The sequence below is a fragment of the Homo sapiens genome, chromosome 1 (assembly GCF_000001405.40).
Source record: "Homo sapiens chromosome 1, GRCh38.p14 Primary Assembly".
NCBI lineage: Eukaryota > Metazoa > Chordata > Mammalia > Primates > Hominidae > Homo > Homo sapiens.
In genome coordinates this window covers 146119187-146144454 of record NC_000001.11, presented here as the reverse complement: position 1 = coordinate 146144454, position 25268 = coordinate 146119187, and the positions used below count along the sequence as shown (strand labels likewise).

General features: G+C 44.4%; 1 protein-coding gene across 2 annotated transcripts in view, besides 1 other annotated feature; it reads left to right on the top strand.

The window, feature by feature from the left end:
• NBPF10 (NBPF member 10) overlaps window positions 1-25268 on the top strand; it is an 80106-nt gene that overhangs the window by 350 nt on the left and 54488 nt on the right. For both annotated transcript variants that reach the window (NM_001039703.6, NM_001302371.3), the window contains exons 2-23: window positions 1703-1805; window positions 2637-2851; window positions 3899-3971; window positions 4435-4646; window positions 6010-6219; window positions 8000-8102; window positions 8934-9148; window positions 10190-10262; window positions 10727-10932; window positions 12218-12269; window positions 16173-16336; window positions 17376-17427; window positions 18047-18219; window positions 18939-18990; window positions 19595-19767; window positions 20477-20528; window positions 21177-21349; window positions 22064-22172; window positions 22785-22957; window positions 23679-23730; window positions 24327-24499; window positions 25209-25260. In NM_001039703.6, coding sequence (NP_001034792.4) covers window positions 1703-1805; window positions 2637-2851; window positions 3899-3971; window positions 4435-4646; window positions 6010-6219; window positions 8000-8102; window positions 8934-9148; window positions 10190-10262; window positions 10727-10932; window positions 12218-12269; window positions 16173-16336; window positions 17376-17427; window positions 18047-18219; window positions 18939-18990; window positions 19595-19767; window positions 20477-20528; window positions 21177-21349; window positions 22064-22172; window positions 22785-22957; window positions 23679-23730; window positions 24327-24499; window positions 25209-25260 — 2860 coding nt within the window. The remainder of the gene's footprint in view (window positions 1-1702; window positions 1806-2636; window positions 2852-3898; window positions 3972-4434; window positions 4647-6009; window positions 6220-7999; window positions 8103-8933; window positions 9149-10189; window positions 10263-10726; window positions 10933-12217; window positions 12270-16172; window positions 16337-17375; window positions 17428-18046; window positions 18220-18938; window positions 18991-19594; window positions 19768-20476; window positions 20529-21176; window positions 21350-22063; window positions 22173-22784; window positions 22958-23678; window positions 23731-24326; window positions 24500-25208; window positions 25261-25268) is intronic.
• Window positions 5-506: an enhancer, noted in NCBI's record as "H3K27ac hESC enhancer chr1:145293725-145294226 (GRCh37/hg19 assembly coordinates)". NCBI's record gives its function as "activates a minimal SCP1, AML or CMV promoter by ChIP-STARR-seq in naive H9 embryonic stem cells {active_cell/tissue: H9 hESC(naive)}" and the evidence as "EXISTENCE:reporter gene assay evidence [ECO:0000049][PMID:30033119]".

Sequence of the window (25268 nt, the reverse complement as noted above, 5' to 3'; positions counted from 1 at the left end):
TGTTAAAGTTGGAAGACAGAGGTGCCAAAGTATTTAGCAACTTTCCATGTTTGCAATCAGATGGGGGTGGAACTAGAGTTAAACTCACAGTTATTGATTTCTAACACAGGCACAGAATGACCTGTTTTCTCCAAGGGGCTCAATCATGTTTTTAAGAATCCTCTCTGTACCATATAAGATCCTGCAGACAAATAACATCTAGTCTGTTGTTCTAAATGTCTAGGACTAGTGAACTTTTATTCAGTTCAAGTTTCTGTTGAGGCCCAACAGGCAAAGCTCTGTTCTAGTGACTCTGAGGGGAACTTGGTGATAGTAGCCAGTACCTGCTCTGAGGGGCTTCAAGGGGAGTCTGCTCCTAATAGAACCTGTGCTATCTATAAGTGACAGCATCAAGAGCAGGGAGTAGGGGCCGTGCAACGTGGCTCACTCCTATAATCTCAGCACTTTGGGAGGCTGAGGCGGGCAGAGCACGAGGTCAGCAGTTTGAGACTAGCCTGGGCAACGTGGAGAAACCCCATCTCCACTAAAAATACAAAAAGTAGATGGGCATCGTGGCGGGCAACTGTAATCACCACTAATCGGGAGGCTGAGGCAGAAGAATCCTTTGAACCCAGCAGGCAGATGTTGCAGTGAGCCAAGATTGCACTATTGCACTCCAGCATGGGTGACGGGGCAAGACTCGTCAAAAAACAAACAAACAAAACGATAAATAAATCAAAAATAAAAATAAAAAGCAGAGAGTACCTTGGTGAGAGTGAAGTCCTGCTTCCTGGTGCACAGGCTCTTGTTCCTAAAGAGGAAAGATCACACCGGAGAATGTGTGGAAGCAGCAGTGCAGTGTGCAAAGCAGGGACCCTCAGCCTGTCTCCTGGGCTCCATCCAAGTTGCTTGTCTTGTCTGTCCCTCAGTTTCCTCATCTGTTCAGAGGGTACTACAATAATACCTACCTCTGTAAATTGCTGCAATGAATTACCTGAGGTATTTCCTGTCAATCTCCTTGAACATTAATTGGCACAGTGTAAACACTATCTATTAGTTCTTCATTCTGATGTTTCTAAATTAACACAAACTAATCTTATGCTGTTTCTAAATTAACACAACTAATCTAAATCTTAATGCTGCCTCTCATACTAATAAAGTATTTGGGCATATTTCCTTCATGGCCTTATTGTCTTATGTCTCACACTTTATGCTTCAGATATGATTCTTAAAACCATATCTGAATATTGATTTAAAAGTGAAATATTTTTAAAGTCCTTGACATATTTGTCCTTGAAATACCCAGTAAAAGGGAAGCCATCAGTCCCATAGTCCTAGGGGCCTTCCCGACTGTACAAGAAATCACTACTTCATGCCCCAGTGCAGTGTTTTAGAGGAGAGGCTGCAAGGCTTGGGAAAGTGGCCCCGCATTCAGAGTCAGACCTCAGGGGCTGTGAGTTCTGACTCCACTTCGTTGTGGTTGAATCATCTTGTCAACTTCCTTGATGTGCCCTTGAGTTTCTCTTTTTTCGTCTTTAAATTTTGGAGGATCAGATGCCAGAAAGTCAGGAGACTGAAGAGTAAAGATGTGGAAATCCCTGTCTAGACCCTGGTACTGGGGAGAGTTTTGTCCTTGGGATGGACCTGGCTCCTGCCCTGTAGGCAGTGACCACAGCAGCATGTCCAGCCTTCCACTGAGGCAGGCGTGTCTGTCTTTTTTCAGAGTATGAAGAGTGTAAAGACCTCATAAAATTTATGCTGAGGAATGAGCGACAGTTCAAGGAGGAGAAGCTTGCAGAGCAGCTGAAGCAAGCTGAGGAGCTCAGGTGAGGGGACCCCATAGGGGGAGGCAGGCGGGTAGGTGTGTAGATCTCTGAAGTACAGCAGCTCGGCGGGGAGAAGTAAGAACGAAGCTGGGCCAGGGGAAGGGCAGAAATTGCCATGGCAGGCTCATGACACACAAATATTTATCAGAGAGCAAGGATAATAATAAGTTCTGTGTTGCAGTTGTTTCTTAGAGCCTTGTTTTCTCTTTTTCAAACAAGTAATTGTTGATGTGAAATTTACATAACACAAAATTCACCAAAGGAGTGGGAACCACCCAGCAGCATTCAGTATAATCAAAATGGTGTGCTATCGCCACCCCACTTACCCTTAGTGAGAATCACCTCCTGACTGACTGCGTCTTCTCATTCTTTCACTCAATCAATGTTGCCTCCTCGACCCTGTCCTTCTTTTCTTCTTTCATCTTTTCAATTCGCCCCATCTGCACCTGGCCTCATTTCTGTACGTGGCTTTGTATCTAGTGGCCGCAAGATGCACTATGTGTATTTTCACATGGAAATGTCCATGGCCAGAGTGAGGAACTGAAAGGATGTCTTTTTGAAACGGAATTAGGAAGACACCTACTTTTGTTTACAGAAGAGAAAGATGAATGGAACATCATCGAGGATCTTGCAGGAGCCCTCTCTGATAGAGGGAAAGCCTGTAGACCATTTTCTATTCTTTCTCTTGGCCACAGTCATTCCTTTCAACATGTGCTGACCTTCTGCTTGGAGGTCTCCTTGACGACATTGTCTCAGAAGTCTCTGTTGCAATATTTGAACGGATCACTCAACCCTTTCTACTCTTAAATTTTCTCTACCGTCTCACCTTAGGCAATATAAAGTCCTAGTTCACTCTCAGGAACGAGAGCTGACCCAGCTAAGGGAGAAGTTACGGGAAGGGAGAGATGCCTCCCGCTCATTGTATGAGCATCTCCAGGCCCTCCTCACTCCGGATGAGCCGGACAAGTCCCAGGGGCAGGACCTCCAAGAACAGCTGGCTGAGGGGTGTAGACTGGCACAGCACCTTGTCCAAAAGCTCAGCCCAGGTAAGGTGGCCATAGGCCCTGATGACCCAAAACCCCAGGCTTATGAGAGGCTCCAGACCTCCATACTTTCACAATGACAGTTGTATCAGTGGGGTTTTTTTCTACTACACCTATGTGGCCATGACATGATCAGGACTTCCTGGGTAAGAACAGAGATGGGAAACCCATGGGTTTGGAGGTCACAGTATTGCAAGTGTCCCTCCTTCCTTGATGGAAGGTGGTCTTTGGAGCAAGAGGCAGCATCTATCTAGTTTTAAAGGACAGGAAGGAGGCTGTGATGGAAGGGTGCTTGTTGGAGTGAAAAGAGCTCTGGGCTAAGAATGAAGGTTCCCAGGCTGTATTTTTGGCAATGTTCTTAGTAAGTGTCAGTGAGTGATTTATCTTTTCAGAGTTTCTCTCTCTCCATCTGCAAAGGCAGACAAATTGTCTCTTGCAAGGGTCTGAAGCATCCAAATATGGGAACACTTACGAATGCTTTTCAAAATGAGATGAAGCCCCTCTCCATGTGGTGTTGGAGAAGGCACTTGATGTGGGGGCATTTGGTGGTAGGAAGTGCTTCAGACTGGAGCACTCCCCATGGATAGAATGTCCCTGAATAACACAGCAGAAGCCACATGGAGGGCCTGTGCAGTCTCATGACGCATAGAGGACTGTGGGACAAGTTTGTCCTCTCCTAAGAGAAAGAATGAGGTTTGAAATGCGAACTGTGACAGGACACCAAGCCTGTTCCTGGGAATCAGATCTGTGGCAGGATGGGGGAGACAGCTGCCAAAGTCCAGAGAGAGGCTGCACAAGCCTCCAGTGATATGGGAAGCAAAAGGTCTTTTCGGTATTTGGCCACATCTTGATGGTGGCCCTCCACATCAGAAATGCATTGCCCGATGGAGCAGGAAACCATGCCAGGGCATTTTGTGAAAGATAAAACATGAGAGTTTTCAGTACAATGCTGAACCATACATAGATGTTCATGTCTCTGTGCACGTTGGGCTGGCTGTGCTTGCAGAATGTGAAGTGGGAAATATCTGAACGAACATTTTGTATTTCTAGAAAATGACGAAGATGAGGATGAAGATGTTCAAGTTGAGGAGGCTGAGAAAGTACTGGAATCATCTGCCCCCAGGTAACACTGAATACTCAGGAGCAAGTAATGGGTGGTAACGTATGAAAATGTCTAGGAGGCACACCCTCTCTGGCATCTATGATGGGCCAAATGCCCGCATTCCCTTGGCCACAGTATGTGAAATTGAACCCAGCTTAGACACAGGGTGCGGCAGCTGTCGTGTTTCTCTATGTGTGCCAAGTGTCATGTCTGTACCATGCAGGGATAGCTGAGTCTTCATCCTCCTCAGCTCCTATCTGTTCAGTGCACTGAACACCAGCTGCTCTCTTCCTCTCTGGCTCCCATGGCAGCCATGGTCTGTTGCAGAGAGAAGAGGATTGCCTGTTCCCTCTTTAAGGGAACCTCCGTTTTGCTTTCTGGAACCACTCTCTTAATGCCGCCTGTCAAAACCAGCTAGGACTCCCTGGGGTCCAATCCCTCTGTGTTTAATCTTCTGTCATCTCTGTCCCACCTGGCTCATCAGGGAGGTGCAGAAGGCTGAAGAGAGCAAAGTCCCTGAGGACTCACTGGAGGAATGTGCCATCACTTGTTCAAATAGCCACGGCCCTTGTGACTCCAACCAGCCTCACAAGAACATCAAAATCACATTTGAGGAAGACGAAGTCAACTCAACTCTGGTTGTAGACAGAGAATCCTCTCATGATGAATGTCAGGATGCTCTAAACATTCTCCCAGGTAGCCTCTATTTTCCTTGTGTCTCATACCTCTGTCTAGGCTATGGAAGATCAATTCTGAGGACAGGCTGTATATACACATATTGTTATTGTTTTAGTCAGAAACTAGGATGGAGCTAGGTGCTGTGACTCACACATATAATCACAGCACTTTGGAAGGCCCAAGTGGGACGATGACTTGAGTTCAGGAGTTGAAGACCAGCCTACACAATATGGTGAAACCCATCTTTACAAAGAATACAAAAAATTAGGCAGGCATGGTGCTGCACGCCTATAGTCCCAACTGCTCAGGAGACTTAGGTGGGAGGATGGGCTGAGATGATCCTCCCACTCTCATTCACTTCTGTCAGGCTAGACTCTCTCTCCTTTTCATTGGCTTGTCTTAGCTATTAATAAGTCTCGGCTGGGCGCAGTGGGTCACACCTGTAATCCGAGCACTTTGGGAGGCCGAGGCGGGTGGATCATGAGGTCAGGAGATTGAGACCATCCTGGCTAACACGGTGAAACCCCGTCTTTACTAAAAATACAAAAAAAAAAAAAAAAATAGCTGGGCGTGGTGGTGGGCGCCTGTAGTCCCAGCTACTCAGGAGGCTGAGGCAGGAGAATGGCATGAACCCAGGAACCGGAGCTTGCAGTGAGCCGAGATTGTGCCACTGCACTCCAGCCTGGGAGACAGAGCGAGACTCCATCTCAAAAAAAAAAAAAAAAAAAAAAAAAGTAAGTCTCTGACCAGGGGCGCTGGCTCACATCTTAATCCCAGCACTTTGGGAGGCTGAGGTGGGCGGAACACCTGAGCTCAGGAGTTCGAAACCAGCCTGTCCAAGATGGCGAAACCCCGTCTCTACTAAAAATACAAAAATTAGCTGGCATGTTACTTGGCGCTTGTAATCCCAGATGCTTGGCAGGCTGAGGGATGAGAATCGCTTGAACCCGGGCGGCAGAGGTGGCAGTGAGCTGAGATTGTGCCTCTGCACTGCAGCCTGCGTGACAGAGTGAGACTCCGTCTCAAACAAAAAACAAAAAACCAAAAAAGAAAAAAATTAAAAAAGCAAAATGAAATCTTTTGTGCTACACAGAAACATTGGCCACTCATGGGGTAAAAATCTCAGGGCCAAGCCTTGCTTTATAGAAACGTATAAGCAAGAAAAGTGTAGAAGTGTTTATGTCCTGGTTTCAAGGTGACTGCATAGCTAAGACAAGTTGACTTAAAGGAGATCAAGACTGGAGATGACAAGAGTGAAACCAGGGAAACATCATCTTCAAATAAGTAAACAAGGCTGCCAGTGACATCCCTCAGTCCTGATTAAGCCTATTTGATTTCACCAGTTTTTAACCCATCATGTGTTTGCCTTTCTTCTCCCCAGTCCCTGGCCCCACCTCTTCTGCCACAAACGTCAGCATGGTGGTATCAGCCGGCCCTTTGTCCAGCGAGAAGGCAGAGATGAACATTCTAGAAATCAATGAGAAATTGCGCCCCCAGCTGGCAGAGAAGAAACAGCAGTTCAGAAACCTCAAAGAGAAATGTTTTCTAACTCAACTGTCCGGCTTCCTGGCCAACCAACAGAAGAAATACAGTAAGATCTATAGGCTCACCATCATGAAAGTGATGAATGATATCCTGTCTTCTCTCTGAGACACTAAATGCTCTCTCCATCAAAAATAATTTCATCCTTCCTGTACTTCTAGGAAAACAGAAATGGGTATTTTAACATTTTGTCAAAGTTGGAAGACAGAGGTACCAAAGTATTTAGCAACTTTCCATGTTTGCAATCAGGTGGGGGTGGGACTAGAGTTAAACTGCCATTTATTGATTTCTGACACAGGCACAGAATGACCTGTTTTCTCCAAGAGGCTCAATCGTGTTTTCAAGAATCCTCTCTGTACCATATAAGATCCTGCAGACAAATAACATCTAGTCTGTTGTTCTAAATGTCTGAGACTAGTGAACTTTTATTCAGTTCAAGTTTCTGTTGAGGCCCAACAGGCAAAGCTCTGTTCTAGTGACTCTGAGGGGAACTTGGTGATAGTAGCCAGTACCTGCTCTGAGGGGCTTCAAGAGGAGTCTACTCCTAATAGAACCTGTGCTGTCTATAAGTGACAGCATCAAGAGCAGGGAGTAGGGGCCGTGCATGGTGGCTCACTCCTGTAATCCCAGCACTTTGGGAGGCTGAGGCGGGCAGATCATGAGGTCAGGAGTTTGAGACCAGCCTGGGCAACATGGAGAAACCCCATCTCCACTAAAAATACAAAAAGTAGATGGGCGTGGTGGCAGGTGACTGTAATCACCCCTGCTCAGGAGGCTGAGGCAGGAGAATCCTTTGAACCCAGGAGGCTGAGGTTGCAGTGAGCCAAGATTTTGCCATTGCACTCCAGCCTGGGCGACAGGGCAAGACTGTTAAAAATAATAATAATAATAATGATAAATAAAAATAAGAATAAAAAGCAGAGAGTAGCTTGGTGAGAGTGAAGTCCTGCTTCCTGGGGCACAGAGTCTTGTTGCTAAAGAGGAAGAAAGATCGCACCCGAGAATGTGTGGAGATAGCAGTGCAGTGTACAGAGCAGGGACCGTGGGCCTGTCTCCTGGGCTCCATCCAAGTTGCTTGTCTTGTCTGTCCCTCAGTTTCCTCACCTGTTCAGAGGGTACTACAATAATACCTACCTCTGTAAATTGCTGCAGTGAATTACATGAGCTATTTCTTGTCAATCTCCTAGAACATTTATTGGCACACAGTAAACACTATCTATTAGTTCTTCATTCTGCTGTTTCTAAATTAACACAAACTTTATTAGCATTTGGGCATATTTCCTTCATGGCCTTATGGTGTTATGTGTCACACTTTATGCTTCAGATATGATTCTTAAAATCATAACTGAAGATATGATTTAAAAATCAAAGATTTTAAAAATCTTTCGCATACTTGTCCTTGAAATTCCCAGTAAAAGGGAAACCATCAGTCCCATAGTCCTAGGGGCCTTCCCGACTGTACAAGAAATCACTACTTCATGCCCCAGTGCAGTGTTTTAGAGGAGAGGCTGCAAGGCTTGGGAAAGTGGCCCCGCATTCAGAGTCAGACCTCAGGGACTGTGAATTCTGACTCCACTTCATTGTGGTTGAATCATCTTGTCAACTTCCTTGATGTGCCCTTGAGGTTCTCTTTCTTCATCTCTAAATTTTGGAGGATCAGATGCCAGAAAGTCAGGAGACTGAAGAGTAAAGATGTGGAAATCCCTGTCTAGACCCTGGTACTGGGGAGAGTTTTGTCCTTGGGATGGACCTGGCTCCTGTCCTGTAGGCAATGACCACAGCAGCATGTCCAGCCTTCCACTGAGGCAGGTGTGTCTGTCTTTTCTCAGAATATGAAGAGTGCAAAGACCTCATAAAATTTATGCTGAGGAATGAGCGACAGTTCAAGGAGGAGAAGCTTGCAGAGCAGCTCAAGCAAGCTGAGGAGCTCAGGTGAGGGGACCCCATGGGGGCAGGCAGGGGCGCAGGTGTGTAAATCTCTGAAGTACAGCAGCTCGGTGGGGAGACGTAAGAGCTAAGCTGGGCCAGGGGAAGGGCAGGAATTGCCATGGCAGGCTCGCTACACACAAATATTTATCAGAGAAGAAGGATAGTAAAAATGTATGGGTTGCAGTTGTTTCTCAGAGCCTTGTTTTCTCTTTTTCAAACAAGTAATTGTTGATGTGAAATTTACATAACACAAAATTAACCAAAGGAGTGTGAACCACACAGCAGCATTCAGTATACTCAAAATGGTGTGCCATCACCACCCCACTTACCCTTAGTGAGAATCACCTCCTGACTGACTGCGGCTTCTCATTCTTTCACTCAATCAATGTTGCCTTCTCGACCCTGTCCTTCTTTTCTTCTTTCATCTTTTCAATTCGCCCCATCTGCACCTGGCCTCATTTCTGTACATGGCTTTGTATCTAGTGGCCGCAAGATGCACTATGTGTATTTTCACATGGAAATGTCCATGGCCAGAGTGAGGAACTGAAAGGATGTCTTTTTGAAACGGAATTAGGAAGACACCTACTTTTGTTTACAGAAGAGAAAGATGAATGGAACATCATCGAGGATCTTGCAAGAGCCCTCTCTGATACAGAGGAAGCCTGTAAACCATTTTCTATTCTTTCTCTTGGCCACAGACATTCCTTTCCACATGTGCTGACCTTCTGCTTCGAGGTCTCCTTGAGGACATTGTCTCAGAAATCTCTGTTGCAATATTTGAGCGGATCACTCAACCCTTTCCACTCTTAAATTTTCTCTACCGTCTCACCTTAGGCAATATAAAGTCCTGGTTCACGCTCAGGAACGAGAGCTGACCCAGTTAAAGGAGAAGTTACGGGAAGGGAGAGATGCCTCCCGCTCATTGAATGAGCATCTCCAGGCCCTCCTCACTCCGTATGAGCCGGACAAGTCCCAGGGGCAGGACCTCCAAGAACAGCTGGCTGAGGGGTGTAGACTGGCACAGCACCTTGTCCAAAAGCTCAGCCCAGGTAAGGTGGCCATAGGCCCTGATGACCCAAAATCCCAGGCTTATGAGAGACTCCAGACCTCCATACTTTCACAATGACAGTTGTATCAATGGTGTTTTTTTCCACTAAGCTTATGTGGCCATGACATGACCAGGACTTCTTGGGTAAGAACGGAGATGGGAAACCCATGGGGTTGGAGGTCACAGTATTGCAAGTGTCCCTCCTCCCTTGATGAAAGGTGGTCTTTGGAGCAAGAGGCAGCATCTGTCTAGTTTTAAAGGACAGGAAGGAGGCTGCGATGGGAGCAGGCTTGTTAGAGTGAAAAGAGCTCAGGACTAAGAATGAAGGTTCCCAGGCTGTCTTTTCGGCAATGTTCTTAGTAACTGTCAGAGAGTGAATGACTTGTCCTTCCTGAGTTTCTCTCTCTCCGTGGCAGACAAATTGTCTCTTGCAAGGGTCTGAAGCATTCAAATGTGGGAACACTTACAACTGCTTTCCAAAATGAGATGAAGGCCCTTGCCGTGTGATGTTGGAGAAGGCACTTTATGTGGGGGCGTTTTGTGGTAGGAAGTGCTTCAGACTGGAGCACTCCCCATGGATAGAATGTCCCTGAAGAACACAGCAGAAGCCACTTGGAGGCTTGAAATCTTCTGATGCATAGAGGACTGTGGGACAAGTTTGTCTGCTTCTAAGAGAAAGAATGAGGTTTGAAATGCAAACCGTGACAGGACACCAAGCCTGTGCCTGGGAATCAGATCTGGCAGGATGGGGGAGACAGCTGCCAACGTCCAGAGAGAGGCTGCACAAGCCTCCAGTGATATGGGAAGCAAAAGGTCTTTTCAATATTTGGCCACATCTTGATGGTGGCCCTCCAGATCAGAAATGCATTGCCTGATGGATCAGGAAACCATGCCAGGGCATTCTGTTAAAGATAAAACATGAGAGTTTTCAGTTGAACGGTGACCCATGCCTAGATGTTCATGTCTCTGTTGCACATTGGGCTGACTGTGCTTGCAGACTGTGAAGTGGGAAATACCTGAACGAACACTTCTGTATTTGCAGAAAATGACAACGATGACGATGAAGATGTTCAAGTTGAGGTGGCTGAGAAAGTGCAGAAATCATCTGCCCCCAGGTAACACTGAATACTCAGGAACAATTAATGGATGGTAACATATGAGGAATATCTAGGAGGCACACCCTCTCTGGCATCTATGATGGGCCAAAAACCCGCATTCGCTTGGCCACAGTATGTGAAATATAATCCAGCTTAGACACAGGGTGCGGTAGCTGTCATGTTTCTCTATGTGTGCTGAGTGTCATGTCTGCACCGTACAGGGATAGCTGAGTCTTCATCCTCCTCAGCTCCTATCTGTCCAGTGCAATGAACAGCAGCTGCTCTCTTCCTCTCTGGTTCCCATGGCAGCCATGCTCTGTTGCAGAGAGAACAGGATTGCATGTTCCCTCTTAATGGGAACCTCCATTTTGCTTTCTGGGACCACTCTCTTAATGCCGCCTGTCAAAACCAGCTAGGACTCCCTGGGGTCCAATCCCTCTGTGTTTAATCTTCTGTCATCTCTGTCCCACCTGGCTCATCAGGGAGATGCAGAAGGCTGAAGAAAAGGAAGTCCCTGAGGACTCACTGGAGGAATGTGCCATCACTTATTCAAATAGCCATGGCTCTTATGACTCCAACCAGCCACATAGGAAAACCAAAATCACATTTGAGGAAGACAAAGTCGACTCAACTCTCATTGGCTCATCCTCTCATGTTGAATGGGAGGATGCTGTACACATTATTCCAGGTAGCCTCTGTTTTCCTTGTGTCTCATACCTCTCTCTAGGCTGAGAAAGATAAACTCTGAAGACAGGCTCTATAAACACAAATTCATTTGAATAAAAAACTGTGATGGGTTTCTAAACAGATATCAGGGAGTTTGTTTGTCCTTCTCAGCTAATGTCATGACTTTGTCTGCCAGTCCCCAGTATCAAGTTACTCAACCCCAGGCAAGTGTGACAATCTCATAGTCACCTGAGTGCAGGAGGTGCACAGGCAGTATCTGTCAGGCCTCCTATCTTCGATTCAGTATCTCTTGTCATCTGTGATTAAGTCATCTGTCCCTGAACAATGTCCATGGAGTTTCTATGCCTGTTTAAGGAAGCTGGCAGCCTTGCCTTTGTATTTGGAAATATTGTTCCCCAGGCTTCACTGCTCTCAGCTTTCATCTGGATCTCCTTTAAGTCAGCTTGCTTAGCTGCACAGTCACCCTGAAATCAGGACGGAAACTTTTCTTCTTTACTTTGCTGATATATTTCCATAAAGCAAGGCTGGACCCTGGTTCTCCACCCTGTCAATGCAATGGCTGATCCAATGTTTCTTTGTAGCATCGTGGATTTTTTTTTTTTTTTTTTTTGCAATGGAGTCTTGCTCTGTCACCCAGGCTGGAGTGCAGTGGCACCATCTTGGCTTGGTGCAACCTCTGCCTCCCAGATTCAAGTGATTCTCCTGCCTCAGCCTCCTGAGTTGCTGGGACCACAGGTGCACAACATCACATCTGGCTAATTTTTGTATTTTTAGTAGAGACAGGGTTTCCCCATATTGGCCAGGGTAGTCCTGAACTCATGACCTCAAATGATTCACCTGTCTTGGCCTCCCAAATCACAGATTCTTTTTAAAGCAAGAGTTGTTCAAATTTATCTATCAGTCGTGTTTCATGTATAGATGCCTCTAAACATTTAATGTCCATGTTACCTGGTGATATAAGTCCGTATCGCAGCAACACTCTTAGAAAATTGTTTGACCAATTTTTGGAGATTTTTTTGGGGAAAAAATTTTGTTTAACTTTGACTCAGGCAGGGAATATGGCATTATGGTCTACACGTAGAGGGAGATTTTGGCCTGTGGGTCTGGAAAGCAGGGTCATCTAATTCTCACCAAAGTTAATCTAGGACACCCTAGAATATTCCTGTCAGAATCCTTATTCTTGCACTGAGAATAGTTATGTCCTTGTGCTATGACTGGACAGTGATTTGTTCATATGTGAAGTATGAATTGCTTAATGTGACCTGCTTCTCTGAATTTATTTACAGAAAATGAAAGTGATGATGAGGAAGAGGAAGAAAAAGGGCCAGTGTCTCCCAGGTAATGTTGTGGAATTGTTGGCTGTTAATTCAGTAGTGACATCTGGAGATTGTAGATTTAGGGAAAATGAGGAAGTGATGAATAGAACTATTTCTTCCATTCACCCAGCTACAAATTGTGCTGATTTACAATGTTGTATGTTATTTGTGGCACTTGTATTGGTTTTAATTTCATAGTCCTCTCAAGATAGGAACTTGCCATCAGATGAGCCAGGTGAACTAGCCAAACAGGGTTTTCTTGTTGATCTTTTCAAAAAACCAGCCCTGGATTCATTGATTTTTTGAAGGGTTTTTTGTGTCTCTATCTCCTTTAGTTCTGCTCTGATCTTAGTTACTTCTTGTCTTCTGCTAGCTTTTGAATTTGTTTGCTTTGCTTCTCTAGTTATTTTAATTGTGATGTTAGGGTGTCAATTTTAGATCTTTTCTGCTTTCTCTTGTGGGCATTTAGTGCTATAATTTTCCCTCTACACATTGCTTTAAATGTGTCCCAGAGATTCTGGTATGTTGTGTCTTTGTTCTCATTGGTTTCAAAGAACATCTTTATTTCTGCCTTCATTTTGTTATTTTCCCAGTAGTCATTCAGGAGCAGGTTGTTCAGTTTCCATGTAGTTGTGTGGTTTTGAGTGAGTTTCTTAATCCTGAGTTCTAATTTGATTGCACTGTGGTCTGACAGTTTGTTGTGATTTCCATTCTTTTACATTTGCTGACGAGTGCTTTACCTCCAACTATGTGGTCAATTTTGGAATAAGTGTGATGTGGTGCTGAGAAGAATGTATATTCTGTTGATTTGGGGTGGAGAGTTCTGTAGATGTCTTTTAGGTCTGCTTGGTGGAGAGCTGAGTTCAAGTCCTGGATATCCTTGTTAAGCTTCTGTCTCATTGATCTGTCTAATATTGACAGTGGGGTGTTAAAGTCTCCCATGATGATTGTGTGGAGTCTAAATCTCTTTGTAGGTCTCTCAGGACTTGCTTTATGAATCTGGGTGCTCCTGTATAGGGTGCATATATATTTAGGATAGTTAACTCTTCTTGTTGAATTGATCCCTTTACCATTATGTAGTGGCCTTCTTTGTCTCTTTTGATCTTTGTTGGTTTAAAGTCTGTTTTATCAGAGACTAGGATTGCAACACCTGCCTTTTTTTGTTTTCCATTTGCTTGGTAGATCTTCCTCCATCCCTTTATTTTGAGCCTATGTGTGTCTCTGCATGTGAGATGGGTTTCCTGAGTACAGCACACTGATGGGTCTTGACTCTTTATCCAATTTGCCATTCTGTGTTTTTTAACTGGGGCATTTAGCCCATTTACATTTAAGGTTAATATTGTTATGTGTGAATTTGATCCTGTCGTTATGATGTTAGCTGGTTATTTCGCCCGTTAGTTGATGCAGTTTCTTCCTAGCGTCAATGGTCTTTACAGTTTGGCATGTTTTTGCAGTGGCTGGTACCGGTTGTTCCTTTCCATGTTTAGTGCTTCCTTTAGGAGCTCTTGTAAGGCAGGCCTGGTGGTGACAAAATCTCTCAGCATTTGCTTCTCTGTAAAGGATTTATTTCTCCTTCACTTATGAAGCTTTGTTTGGCTGGATATGAAATTCTTGGTTGAAAATTCTTTTCTTTAAGAATGTTGAAGGTGCTGGAGAGGATGTGGAGAAATAGGAACACTTTTACACTGTTGGTGGGACTGTAAACTAGTTCAACGATTGTGGAAGGCAGTGTGGCAATTCCTCAGGGATCTAGAACTAGAAATACCATTTGACCCAGCCATCCCATTACTGGGTGTATACCCAAAGGATTATAAATCATGCTGCTGTAAAGACACATGCACACATATGTTTATTGCGGCACTATTCACAATAGCAAAGACTTGGAACCAAGCCAAATATCCAGCAATGATAGACTGGATTAAGAAAATGTGGCACATATACACCATGGAATACTATGCAGCTATAAAAAATGATGAGTTCATGTCCTTTGTAGGGGCATGGATGAAGCTGGAAACCATCATTCTCAGCAAACTATTGCAAGGACAAAAAACCAAATACCGCATGTTCTTACTCACAGGTGGGAATTGAACAATGAGAACACATGGACACAGAAAGGGGAACATCACACACTGGGGCCTGTTGTAGGGTGTGGGGAGGGAGGAGGGGTAGCATTAGGAGATATACCTAATGTTAAATGATGAGTTAATGGGTGAAGCACACCAATGTGGACATGTATACATATGTAACTAACCTGCACGTTGTGCACATGTACCCTAAGACTTAAAGTATTAAAAAATATATATATATATATACATACACACAAAAAATAATAAAGGAAAACTATACATATGGAAAAAAAAAAGAATGTTGAATATTGCTCCCACTCTCTTCTGGCTTGTAGGGTTTGTGCCAAGAGATCTGCTGCTAGTCTGATGGGTTTCCCTTTGTGGGTAATCCGACCTTTCTCTCTGGCTGCCCTTAGCATTTTTTCCTTCATTTCAACCTTGGTGAATCTGACAATTACGTGTTTTGGGGTTGCTCTTCTCGAGGAGTATCTTTATGGTGTTCTCTGTGTTTCCTGAATTTGAATGTTGGCCTTCCTTGCTAGGTTGGGGAAGTCCTCCTGGATAATATCCTGAAGAATGTTTCCCAGCTTGGTTCCATTCTCCCCGTCACTTTCAGTACACCAATCAAACGTAGATTTGGTCTTTCCACATAGTCCCATATTTATTGGAGGCTTGTTCATTTCTTTTTACTCTTTTTTCTCTAAACTTCTCTTCTTGCTTCATTTCACTAATTTGATCTTGAATCACTGATACCATTTCTTGCACTTGATCGAATTGGCTACTGAAGCTTGTGCATGCATCACGTAGTTCTCGTGCCATGGTTTTCAGCTCCATCAGGTCATTTAAGGTCTTCTCTACACTGTTCATTCTGGTTAGCCATTTGTCTAATCTTTTTTCAAGGTTTTTAGCTTCCTTGCGATGAGTTCGCACATCCTCCTTTAGCTCAGAGAAGTTTGTTATTACCGACTTTCTGAAGCCTACTTCTGTCAGCTCATCAAAGTCATTCTCCATCCTGCTTTGTTCCATTGCTGGCGAGGAGCTGCGATCCTTTGGAGGAGAAGGGATGTCAGGTTTTTGGAATTTTCAGCTTTTGTGCTCTGGTTTCTCCCCACCTTTGTGGTTTTATCTACCCTTGGTCTTTGATGATGGCGACCTACAGATGGGGTTTTGGGGTAGATGTCTTTTTTGTTGATGTTGATGCTATTCCTTTCTGTGTGTTAGTTTTCCTTCTAACAGTCAGGTCCCTCAGCTTCAGGTCTGTTGGAGTTTGCTGGAAGTCCACTCCAGACCCTCAAACAGGGATTTCTTGGTGTTGCCTATTCTCTCCCATGTGTTTAAATCCAGGGAGAGGTGTATATATTCTTTCTTCCTATTTGTTGGTAGTATGTTGGCTAGTATTTTTGCAAGAAAAGAAATTGAAAAAGTAAATATATTATATCAAAATATTGGGAAAATGGGGCCCTTAATACACAAGATCTGTGTCTGCACTGCGTCAAGAACTCTCTTCACTTGAATGCTGCATGTAAAATTCAACCCAATTTATGCAAAGTAGTTGAAGCCCTGTGTCAGTTCTCTGTGCTGCAAGTCATGATGGTAGTTTACAGGGAGAGTCCGGGTGCCCTGAGTTGGCTCATCTGTGGCAAATGTACTGAGCACATGCTGCCCATTTTTGCTCTGTCCCCAGAGCAGTCACCCTCCACCCTGTATTTAGAAGGATAGTTTTATTTCTCTTGAAGGAAAAATGCCTTTGGTTTCTGTGACCACTCCATTCTGTCTCCCATCAGATCATCTGGGAGGTTTTGTTGTCTAATGTCTGTTGGTTAAATCTTCTATCATCCCTGTCCTGCCTGGCTCATCAGGAATCTGCAGGAGTCTGAAGAGGAGGAAGTCCCCCAGGAGTCCTGGGATGAAGGTTATTCGACTCTCTCAATTCCTCCTGAAATGTTGGCCTCGTACCAGTCTTACAGCAGCACATTTCACTCATTAGAGGAACAGCAAGTCTGCATGGCTGTTGACATAGGCAGTGAGTACTCCATTGTGAAGGTGATAAAGCTCCAGTTCATGGCCCAGGTAGACCCCATAATCTTTGGGCCTTGTGCCCCTTGTTGGGCTGAGATTTGCCATCACCGTGGGCTGAACCTATATATCAATGTAGACTTCAGTCACTCTGGAGTCAAGTCTGAAGCACAGGCATGGGGTGGGTCAGTGAGCTTTACTCTCTTCCTAGTCTCAGGCCATGCCCGTGCCAACCTGGACTGACTGTCACGACATTAAACTCAAGGCAGGTGTGGCAAACTCACACCAAACTATGTAGCACATGCCCAGGAGTTGTCTGTCAGATCAGCTCATCTGAATTAAATGTCTCTTGCCAGCTACAAAATTCCTTATGAGTTTTGTTCCCAAAGCATGTCTGTGTGGTTCTTTACCTGCCCAAGGCCAGTGTCACCCTTGTCTACCTCTCAGTGAAAGATGTGACCCAGGTTTCACTGAATTTATTCCCATTTTCTGTGTCTTCTAAGTTCGCTTGTTTTAGCTCATCTGTCCGTCATGTTCCTGGTATGTTTTCTAGATAAATGGCTGACTTTTCACCCACAAAAGCCATAATAGCTGATGCTTCTGTGTAGAACCAAGTTTCATTTTGACTCAAGAGCTGGTACATTGCACCCCTTCATCAAATCTCTGTGTCCACAATCTCATAAACTATCAAATTCTGGGTATTTGATGAGAGAAAGCTTAATATTGAAGTATCTCTCCTATGAGGTGTTAGAACTATTTGCCTACAATTTATTGGGGAAAAAATTGCTCATTTGTGTACATAAACCTAGGACAGAGCACATAGGGAAGATAACATTCCAACACAGGGGAATTTTGCCCAAGGCTCATGAAAGAACCCAAGCCAGTTTTCTCAAGACTTGACCTCAGGCCTACTGGAATATTTCTCTGAAAGTCTCCTGTTCTCACACTGACAAGACTGATGTCCCTGTGTTAGGATTGGACAGAGGAATGTTTCTGTGTGCAAGGAAGAACTTAATGTAAGAGGGCACATCTGAATTTATTTGCAGGACATCGGTGGGATCAAGTGAAAAAGGAGGACCAAGAGGCAACAGGTCCCAGGTGAGTCTGAGAAATTGTGGACAGTTAATTTGATGTTGACACCTGGAGATGCCAAGTCCAGGGAAAACAGTACATCCTGAAAATAATGATTTTGTCTTGTCAGACAAGTCTGAATTATGCCTACTACATTGCTTTTTGGTTCTCATTAGAGTAAATGTTTAGGTTTCCATTTCTTCCTACCCTTATCATTTACTAACCTAGTGAAAGTTGACCATACCTCAAAAGCTGTATTCTCATGGTAACTGCCGGGAAACTTGAGCACATTTTATGCAAAATTATTGAGGACATGCTTTTCATGATCACTGTTCACTGTGTGTCCTGAGAGCACAAATACAGAGTGTCCTTTGACTCCCTCATCAGTGTGTCACCTGACCAATTGACTGAGCTCGCTCTGTGTGTGTGTGTGTGTGTGTGTGTGTGTGTGTGTGTGTCTTTCTCGTTCATCCTTTTCTACCTGGCCCTAGTCAATCCCAACATAAAGGCAATAATTTGTTACCTCATTAATGGATCTGTCCTTTTTCTTTTCAAACTCTTCCTTATGTTAGCCATGAAATCTAGCTGGGGCTGTGTGGTTTCTGATTCCCCCTGGCTTATTCTTTACTTTTTCCTACTTTTCCACGCTCAGCAGGGAGCTGCTGGATGAGAAAGGGCCTGAAGTCTTGCAGGACTCACAGGATAGATGTTATTCAACTCCTTCAGGTTGTCTTGAACTGACTGACTCATGCCAGCCCTACAGAAGTGCCTTTTACATATTGGAGCAACAGCGTGTTGGCTTGGCTATTGACATGGATGGTGAGTACCTTTCTATGAAGGTGATAAGGATCCACTGAGTCTTCTGGTTAGGGTCATATTCCTACTGCAAGTGGCCGTTACTGAGCTGAGAGATGTCATTGCCACAGGGAGGACCTATAGGCACATGTAGGTTGAATGAAACTCTAGTTCCACTTGGAAGCCCAGACAAGGGATGGGTCAGTGAGCAAGGCTCTCTTCCTAGTCTCAGGCCATGCCTGTGGCACCATAATCCTACTCTCAAGATGTTGGATCTGGGCAGATATGACAAATTCACACAACTCTGATTTTGTCTAAATTTTGTAGATCTTGTAGATTTCATCCTTTACTCTAATTTCAGCGTCTAAAATCCTCGCTACCATGAACAATCTGAGTATTTGATGAGACAGGGCTGAATAGTGCAGTTTTTCTCCTAGCAACCATTTGGGGGCATTTGCTTTAAATCGATTGGAAAAATATGGCATAACCATTTGCACAAACTTGGGACAAATGATATTTGGATAACGATCTACCAGAATAGGGAATTTTACCCACAGTTTCTGGGACAAAAACCAAGGAATCTCTGTGGTGATCAGCCTTCAGGCCTCCTGAAGAATATCTCTCACAGTGTCCTATTCTCATGCTGAGGAGCCTGAAGTCCCTGTGTGAGGATTAGACAGTGGATTGTTATGTGTGTAGGAGAACGAGCTTAATATGTCTGTCCATGTCTGAACTTATTGCAGAAATTGAAAAGTACCAAGAAGTGGAAGAAGACCAAGACCCATCATGCCCCAGGTAACTTTGAGCAATTATGGATGCTTAATTCTGTGTTGACACCTGGAGATGCCAGGTCCAGGGAAAACAAGAGTGTGTTCAATTTCATGTTTTCAACGAAGGTTGAATTACTCCTACTGACATTGCTGTTGGTTTTCATTGCAGTAGATGTTTAGGTTTCCATTTCTTCCTCCCCTTATCATTTACTCACTTACTATAGGTTGACCATACCTCAAAGGCTGTATGGCAACTGCATGGAATCTTGAGCAAGTTTATGGAAAATTATTGAGCCCACTCTTTTCATGATCACTGTTCGCTGTGTGTCCCGAGGGCACTAACTCAGAGTGTCCTTTGACCCCTTCATCAGTGTGTCACCCGGCCAACTCGCTGAGCTCACTTTCTCCTCTCTCTCTCTCTCTCTCTCTCCCTCTCCCTGTCTTTCTCTTTCATTCTTTTCTACCTGGCCCTGGTCTATCCCAACATAAAGGCAATAATTCATTACCTCGTTAATGGATCTGTCCTTTTTCTTTTTAAACAGTTCCTTATGTTAGCCATGAAATCTAGCTGGGGCTGTGTGGTTTCTGATTCCCCCTGACTTATTCTTTACTTTTTCCTACTTTTCCAGGCTCAGCAGGGAGCTGCTGGATGAGAAAGAGCCTGAAGTCTTGCAGGACTCACTGGATAGATGTTATTCGACTCCTTCAGGTTATCTTGAACTGCCTGACTTAGGCCAGCCCTACAGCAGTGCTGTTTACTCATTGGAGGAACAGTACCTTGGCTTGGCTCTTGACGTGGACAGTGAGTACCTTACTGTGAAGGTGATAAGCCTCCACCTGGTCTTCCAGATAGGGGTGATATTCCTGTTCCAAGTGCCCCTTACTGACCCGAGAGACGTCATTGCCGCAGGCAGGACCTATGGGCGCATATAGGTTGTAATGAAACTGTAGTCTCAGTTGGAAGCCTAGACATGAAATGGGTCAGTGAGCAAGGCTCTATTCCTAGTCTCCAGCCATGCCTGTGGCAACCTGAGCCCGCTCTCAGCACATTGGACCCAGGCAGATGTAAAAAATTCACAGAAGTATGATTTGGACTGAAGGGTTTGTAGATTTCCTCCTTCATTCTAATTTCAGTGTCTAAAATTCTTGCATCCATGAACGAGCTGGGCATTTGATGAGACAGGGCTGAATACTTTAGTTTTCCTCCTGGAAATCATCTGGGGCATTTTCTTTGAACTGATGGGAACAATAAAGCATAACTGTTTGCACAAACTTGGGATAAATGATTTTGGGATAACGATGTACCAGAATGGGGATATTTCACCCTTGGTTCTGAGATGCAAACCAAAGAATATCATGACCAGCTTTCAGGCCTCCTGAAGTATATCTCTCACATTGTCCTGTTCTCATGCTGAGGAGCCTGAGATCCCTGTGTGGGGATTAGACAGTGGACTGTTATGGGTGTAGGTGAATTGGCTTATTTTGTCTGTCCCTGTCTGAATGTATTGCAGGAATTAAAAAGGACCAAGAAGAGGAAGAAGACCAAGGCCCACCATGCCCCAGGTAACTGAGCAATTGTGAACAGCTACTTCTGTGTTGACATCTGGAGACTCCTGGTTCAGGGAAAACAGAGCGGGCTGACATTATCGATTACATCTCTTCAACCAAGCCTGAATTATTCCTACTAACATTGCTGTTGGTTTTCATTGCAGTAGATATTTAGGTTTCCATTTCTTCCTCCCCTTATCATTTACTAACCTACTGTAGGTGGACCAGACTTCAAAAACTGTATTCTCATGGTGACTGCATGGAAACTTGAGCACATTTTATGGAAAATTATTGAGCACAGTCTTTTCATGATCCCTGTATGCTGTGTGTCCTGAGGGCACTAACTCAGAGTGTCCTGTTACTCCCTCATCAGTGCGTCACCTGGACAATTCACTGAGCTCGTTCTCTCTCTCTCTGTGTGTGTGTGTGTGTGTGTGTGTGTGTGTGTGTGTGTGTGTGTGTGTGTCTATCTGTCTTTCTCTTTCATTCTTTTCCATTTGGCCCTGTTCTGTCCCAACATGAAGGCAATAATTTGTTACCTCATTAATGGATCTATCCTTTTAGTTTTTTAACCACTTCCCTATGCTACCCATGAAACCTAGTTGGGGCTCTGTTGTGTCTGATTTCCCCTGGCTTATTCTTTACTTTTTCCTCCTTTTCCAGGCTCAGCAGGGAGCTGCTGGAGGTAGTAGAGCCTGAAGTCTTGCAGGACTCACTGGATAGATGTTATTCAACTCCTTCCAGTTGTCTTGAACAGCCTGACTCCTGCCAGCCCTATGGAAGTTCCTTTTATGCATTGGAGGAAAAACATGTTGGCTTTTCTCTTGACGTGGGAGGTGAGTACCTTTCTATGAAGGTGATAAGAATCCACTGAGTCTTCCATATAAAGATCATATTCCTGCTCCAAGTGGCCATTACTGAGCTGAGAGATGTCATTGCCACAGGGAGGACCTATAGGCACATGTAGGTTGAATGAAACTCTAGTTCTACCTGGAAGCCCAGACAAGGGATGGGTCAGTGAGCAAGACTCTCTTCCTAGTCTCAGGCCATACCTGTGGCGCCCTGATCCTATTCTCATGACATTGGACCTGGGCAGATGTGACAAATTCAGAGAACTATGATTTTGACTCAAGGGTTTGTAGATTTCCTTTTTCACTCTAATTTCAGTGTCTAAAGTCCTCACAACCATGAACAATCTGAGTATTTGATGAGACAGGGCTAAATATTGCAGTTTTTCTCCTAGAAATCATTTGAGGGTATTTGCTTTAAGTTGATTGGAAAAATATGGCGTAACTGTTTGCACAAACTTGGGACAAATGATATTGAGATAACGATCTACTAGAATAGGGACACTTTACCCACAGTTTCTGGGAGAAAAACCAAGGAATTTCTATCATGACCAGCCTTCAGGCCTCCTGAAATATATCTCTCACAGTGTCCTATTCTTATGCTGAGGAGCCTGAGGTCCCTGTGTGAGGATTAGACAGTGGATTGTTATGTGTGTAGGGGAATCAGCTTAATGTGTCTGTCCATGTCTGAATTTATTGCAGAAATTGAAAAGAAGGGGAAGGGGAAGAAAAGAAGGGGAAGAAGATCAAAGAAGGAAAGAAGAAGGGGAAGAAAAGAAGGGGAAGAAGATCAAAACCCACCATGCCCCAGGTGACTTTCAGCAATTGTGGATGCTTAATTCTGTGTTAACACCTGGAGGCAACAGATTCAGGGAAACCAGAGTGTGTTTGATGACATGTTTTCAGCGAAGGCTGAATTACTCCTACTGTCATTGCTGTTGGTTTTCATTGCAGTAGATGTTTAGGTTTCCATTTCTTCCTCCCCTTATCATTTCCTAACGTACCATAGGTTGACCATACTTCAAAAGCTGTACTCTCATGGCCACTGCATCGAATTTTGAGCATATTTTATGGAAAACTATTGAGCTCACTCTTTTCATGATCACAGTTTGCTGTGTGTCATGAGGGCACTAACTCAGAGTGTCCTTTGACTCCCTTACCAGTATGTCACCTGGCCAATTCACTAGGTCACTTTCTCTCTGTCTCTGTCTCTGTCTCTGTCTCTCTCTCTCTGTCTTTCTCTTTCATTGTTTTCTACCTGGCCCTGTTCTATCCCAACATAAAGGCAATAATTTGTTACCTCATTAATGGATCTGTCCTTTTTCTTTTCAAACTCTTCCTTACGTTAGCCATGAAATCTAGCTGGGGCTGTGTGGTTTCTGATTCCCCCTGGCTTATTCTTTACTTTTTCCCACTTTTCCAGGCTCAGCAGGGAGCTGCTGGATGAGAAAGGGCCTGAAGTCTTGCAGGACTCACTGGATAGATGTTATTCAACTCCTTCAGGTTGTCTTGAACTGACTGACTCATGCCAGCCCTACAGAAGTGCCTTTTATGTATTGGAGCAACAGCGTGTTGGCTTCGCTTTTGACATGGATGGTGAGTACCTTTCTATGAAGGTGATAAGGATCCACTGAGTCTTCTGGTTAGGGTCATATTCCTACTGCAAGTGGCCCTTACTGAGCTGAGAGATGTCATTGCCACAGGGAGGACCTATAGGCACATGTAGGTTGAATGAAACTCTAGTTCCACTTGGAAGCCCAGACAAGGGATGGGTCAGTGAGCAAGGCTCTCTTCCTAGTCTCAGGCCATGCCTGTGGCGCCCTAATCCTACTCTCATGACATTGGACCTGGGCAGATGTGACAAATTCACACAACTCTGATTTTGTCTCAATTTTGTAGATCTTGTCGATTTCATCCTTCACTCTAATTTCAGCGTCTGAAATCCTCGCTACCATGAACAATCTGAGTATTTGATGAGACAGGGCTGAATAGTGCAGTTTTTCTCCTAGCAACCATTTGGGGGCAATTTCTTTAAATCGATTGGAAAAATATGGCATAACCATTTGCACAAACTTGGGACAAATGATATTGGGATAACGATCTACCAGAATAGGGAATTTTACCCACAGTTTCTGGGACAAAAACCAAGGAATCTCTATGGTGATCAGCCTTCATGCCTCCTGAAGAATATCTCTCACAGTGTCCTATTCTCATGCTGAGGAGCCTGAAGTCCCTGTGTGAGGATTAGACAGTGGATTGTTATGTGTGTTTAGGAGAACCAGCTTAATATGTCTGTCCATGTCTGAACTTATTGCAGAAATTGAAAAGTACCAAGAAGTGGAAGAAGACCAAGACCCATCATGCCCCAGGTAACTTTGAGCAATTATGGATGATTAATTCTGTGTTGACACCTGGAGATGCCAGGTCCAGGGAAAACAAGAGTGTGTTCAATTTCATGTTTTCAACGAAGGTTGAATTACTCCTACTGACATTGCTGTTGGTTTTCATTGCAGTAGATGTTTAGGTTTCCATTTCTTCCTCCCCTTATCATTTACTCACTTACTATAGGTTGACCATACCTCAAAGGCTGTATGGCAACTGCATGGAATCTTGAGCAAGGTTATGGAAAATTATTGAGCCCACTCTTTTCATGATCACTGTTCGCTGTGTGTCCCGAGGGCACTAACTCAGAGTGTCCTTTGACCCCTTCATCAGTGTGTCACCCGGCCAATTCGCTGAGCTCACTTTCTCCTCTCTCTCTCTCTCCCTCTCCCTGTCTTTCTCTTTCATTCTTTTCTACCTGGCCCTGGTCTATCCCAACATAAAGGCAATAATTCATTACCTCATTAATGGATCTGTCCTTTTTCTTTTTAAACAGTTCCTTATGTTAGCCATGAAATCTAGCTGGGGCTGTGTGGTTTCTGATTCCCCCTGGCTTATTCTTTACTTTTTCCTACTTTTCCAGGCTCAGCAGGGAGCTGCTGGATGAGAAAGAGCCTGAAGTCTTGCAGGACTCACTGGATAGATGTTATTCGACTCCTTCAGGTTATCTTGAACTGCCTGACTTAGGCCAGCCCTACAGCAGTGCTGTTTACTCATTGGAGGAACAGTACCTTGGCTTGGCTCTTGACGTGGACAGTGAGTACCTTACTGTGAAGGTGATAAGCCTCCACCTGGTCTTCCAGATAGGGGTGATATTCCTGTTCCAAGTGCCCCTTACTGACCCGAGAGACGTCATTGCCGCAGGCAGGACCTATGGGCGCATATAGGTTGTAATGAAACTGTAGTCTCAGTTGGAAGCCTAGACATGGAATGGGTCAGTGAGCAAGGCTCTATTCCTAGTCTCCAGCCATGCCTGTGGCAACCTGAGCCCGCTCTCAGCACGTTGGACCCAGGCAGATGTAAAAAATTCACAGAAGTATGATTTGGACTGAAGGGTTTGTAGATTTCCTCCTTCATTCTAATTTCAGTGTCTAAAATTCTTGCATCCATGAACGAGCTGGGCATTTGATGAGACAGGGCTGAATACTTTAGTTTTCCTCCTGGAAATCATCTGGGGCATTTTCTTTGAACTGATGGGAACAATAAAGCATAACTGTTTGCACAAACTTGGGATAAATTATTTTGGGATAACGATGTACCAGAATGGGGATATTTCACCCTTGGTTCTGAGATGCAAACCAAAGAATATCATGACCAGCTTTCAGGCCTCCTGAAGTATATCTCTCACATTGTCCTGTTCTCATGCTGAGGAGCCTGAGATCCCTGTGTGGGGATTAGACAGTGGACTGTTATGGGTGTAGGTGAATTGGCTTATTTTGTCTGTCCCTGTCTGAATGTATTGCAGGAATTAAAAAGGACGAAGAAGAGGAAGAAGACCAAGACCCACCATGCCCCAGGTAACTGA